The following is a 3,716-nucleotide window of genomic DNA, read 5'->3' as shown; positions in this document are numbered from 1 at the left end:
CCAGCATCTGTCTTTGTCCAAGGAGTCAGGCAGCGAGTCTTGTGTGTGTACATTTTCCCACCTTCAGAACCTTTGGCTCATGCCTTTACCATCACTGTTTCCCGCTGATTCTAGCAGACAGATGGGCCTCTTTCCCAACCTGGGTCATGAGCAGAGCGGTTCATGAAGGAGTTGTTCAGAATCCTGATTCCAGGTATAATCTGCATGAACCCCATTGAGAAGGAGCCCCTTCTCAGAAGGTATCAGTGCTCTTGTGGATTGGCAGGGTTGGTGGGGTGGGGTGGGGGAGTGGGCCTTACACAGTTCTTTCAGCCCAGGGCTACTGAATGTGTCACTGAACCCATGACTCTGCTTCCATGCTATTTCACAGAACCATTTAAAGAGCAGCATATGAAAGAAAACATTAAAAAACATAATTTTATTCAAGAGTACATTCCAAATGCCTTGGTATCGAAATCGCTCCTTCTACACCTTAAGTTGATTTCCCCTAATTTGGTTTTCCAGGTATGTGCAAAGAAATCATCCCTGTGTTTTAGATATTTGAAGTTTCCTAAAACTTCCTGTTCATCTCTTCTGAGCAAACCTTTGCTTTTCTCCCCAATCTTTTAGGTATTTCCTAGTCCGTTTGAGCTCTTAGCTGGTTTTGCATTTTTCTCTGCATCTCATCTAAATTTACCACCTGTTTAGGTTTTAATGTGATAATTAACAGAGTATATTAATATGCCCTGACTTGGAAATTCAATTTGACAAATATTTACAATTGGCTTTTCTGTACACAGCACAGCTATATGCTCTGTAGGACAAAAGAATGGGTGCTGGCAGGTCCCCACTCTTAACTGCCTTACCACCTGGTAAAATAAAAATGTAATTGTCTCAAAATTGGTCTTAGGGCCAAAGAGAAATGTTTACCACAATGATTTCAAGATACCACTTTCCAGATTTTTTTTTTATCTTTAAGACAGAGAGCTTGCTGTAATTTATAATTTTTCAGAAGATTTGGTCTCAGTGAAATCTGTTGTACTGTCTTCCATGCTGATGTCTCCCTTCTCTGAGTTATTTTAGTGCATATGGCCGGTACTGCACAATTTATTTGTTCTCTAGTTGTTTCCTGTATGTGTCCCTTTTCTACTACCAACCAAGGTGTAAGGTGGGGAAGGTAAGGACAATCACTATTACTTTTCTCTCCCTTAATATCTGCTAAAGTGCCAGACAAATAGTTATGCAAAAACCAGCTGGTTTCTTGGCTTATGGGCTGACACCCAGGAGAACTCTTCTTCTCTCTAATGTCTACACACTTCTGATATGCTGCTTTTCATCCACCAACAATGGGCAAAATCGAATGAAAAACTTGTTAGCATTGTGGACAAAATAAGAGTACTTAGCTCTGAGTGATATTCTAAAAGATCTCTTGTCAATGAAATTCACAACCATGAAATATAGATGTTTAACATATTAATGTCTATTTTGCCTGCTCAGAAGCTTCCCTTTTCCAAGCTCATTCTTACTTTTTGGTTATTTCAATATTTTGAACAGGCTGAGGTTAGATAAGTGAGTTCTGAGTAAATGTGGTGTCATTATCATGGCCTTCCAAATAAGTTTATAAATTGTTTTTTAATTTTCAGATCCAGAAAATTGGAGCTTCTCGTAACTTTATAGCTTTTGATTGCCGAATGGCATGACTGGATTTTTGGTAGAGTTATGAAAAATCTAATGAAAATATGATATTTATAATCCAAAGTATATTATTTTGTTTTCAAATATCTGAAAGGACTAAACGATTCACATTCTAAAAATAATTCAAACAAATCCACAAAGTATAATTAATACATTAAAGTTTATACAAGACAATTTTACATAAGAAATCCTTTCAACAAATCCCTGTAACTAATAATTTTTTTTTTTTTTTTTGAGACAGAGTTTCTCTCTTGTTGCCCAGGCTGGAGTGCAATGGCCTGATCTTGGCTCACTGCAACCTCCACTTTCCAGGTTCAAGCGATTCTCCTGCCTCAGCCTCCCAAGTAGCTGGGATTACAGGTGTGCACCACCACACCCAGCTAATTTTGTATTTTTAGTAGAGACGGGTTTTCCCCATGTTGGTTAGGCTGGTGTCAAACTCCCGACCTCAGGTGATCCACCTGCCTCGGCCTCCCAAAGTGCTGAGATTACAGGTGTGAGCCACTGCATCTGGCTGTAACTAATAATTTTTTATTGGTATTTAACAAAGTGATACAATTCATAACAGTATTCCCCATTGGTTATGAATGCAGAACAGGAAGGGATTTGGAAAATCAACCCAGGTATACTGAAGAGGGAGGTTACAATTGCACCTAAAAAAAATCTTTCAAACACAGGGATTAGAATTTACATGAGATAATATTGGATTGTTCTTGTGGAAAACTCAAGTTGGCTTGGGTGGCATGGACATTGGAAATAGACTCTCCCAATGCAAGACAATTCCACTAGGATTTACTGAGTGCTTACTATGAGCATTATTCCCACGCAGGCCCTCAACCAAGTATTAACCAGACACAACATTGCTTACTTTCAAAGATACAATGAAATTGAGGATATGAAGGCTGATACAGCCTCATACCCCAAGCAAGTATTTATTGAGTGCCTAATGTGGGTCAAGAACTGTACTATTATATTACATCCTTTTTTGTTTTATTATTATTATTTTTTCAACAGAGTCTCACTCATTGCCCAGGCTGGAGTGCAGTGACATGATCATAGCTCACTGTAATCTTGACCTCCTGGGCACAAGGGATCTTACTGCCTCAGCCTCCTGAGTAGCTGGGACTACAGGTGTGCCCCACCACACCCAGATAACTTAAAAAAAATTTTTTTTTGGTAGAGATGGGGTCACGTTGCCTGGTCTGGTCTCAAACTCCTGGCCTCAAGCAATCCTTGTGCCTTGGCCTCCCAAAGTGCTGGGATTACAGGTGTAAACCACTGTACCTGGCCCCATTCTTGATTATAGATGAGAAAACTGAAGCTCAGAGAGGGTAGTTAATTTGCTGAAACACAGGAGCCAGGGTTTGCAGTCAGGCCTAACTCCAATGAAGTAGCTTCCTTTCTGTCCCATTGTCTCCTATGTGGCTGCAACCAGAATTTCCTACCTTGATAGGATCCTTTCTCCCCTTCATTGAGCTGTGGGTACCACAGTGACCTGGGGCAGGGGCCCACCTACAACTACATAAGATGGAGACAGAAGGGCTTAGATGTCAGGAACAGTCAGTATGCCGTATGAATGGGAATTCTAGTTCCCTGACTTACAGAAATTCTGAGAGAATTGGCACTGGTATTAGCAAGAAGTACTTTGGGCATCTCAGATGAAAGGCTCTACGTGAGTACAGAGGGTGGCTATTAGAGACTGGCATGGAATTTTATATGAAGGAGAGTGCTTACTAATTATAAGATAGCTACTCATTAGTAGATTTATTTTCTAGCTTAATCTCTCATTGTTGCTATTACAAGGACTTAGAAAAAAATGCCCAAAGGTTTATGACCAAGACTCAAAAGCTAAGCTTGCATGTCCTGAATAGACCTATCTGATTAAAATAATAAAAATAATAATAGTAATTAGAATAAATTCTGTTTACACCTTGTCTTTGCCTGAATGGCTTTAGAGTCCTGTAAAACTTTGCCTTTAGTATCTACATTCGTTCATTGGTCTGTGCTTGCCTGAGCATCTGAGAACATTTTAGAAATATTAG

The sequence above is a fragment of the Homo sapiens genome, chromosome 5 (assembly GCF_000001405.40).
Source record: "Homo sapiens chromosome 5, GRCh38.p14 Primary Assembly".
Lineage (NCBI taxonomy): Eukaryota > Metazoa > Chordata > Mammalia > Primates > Hominidae > Homo > Homo sapiens.
This window is presented reverse-complemented; position numbering follows the sequence as displayed.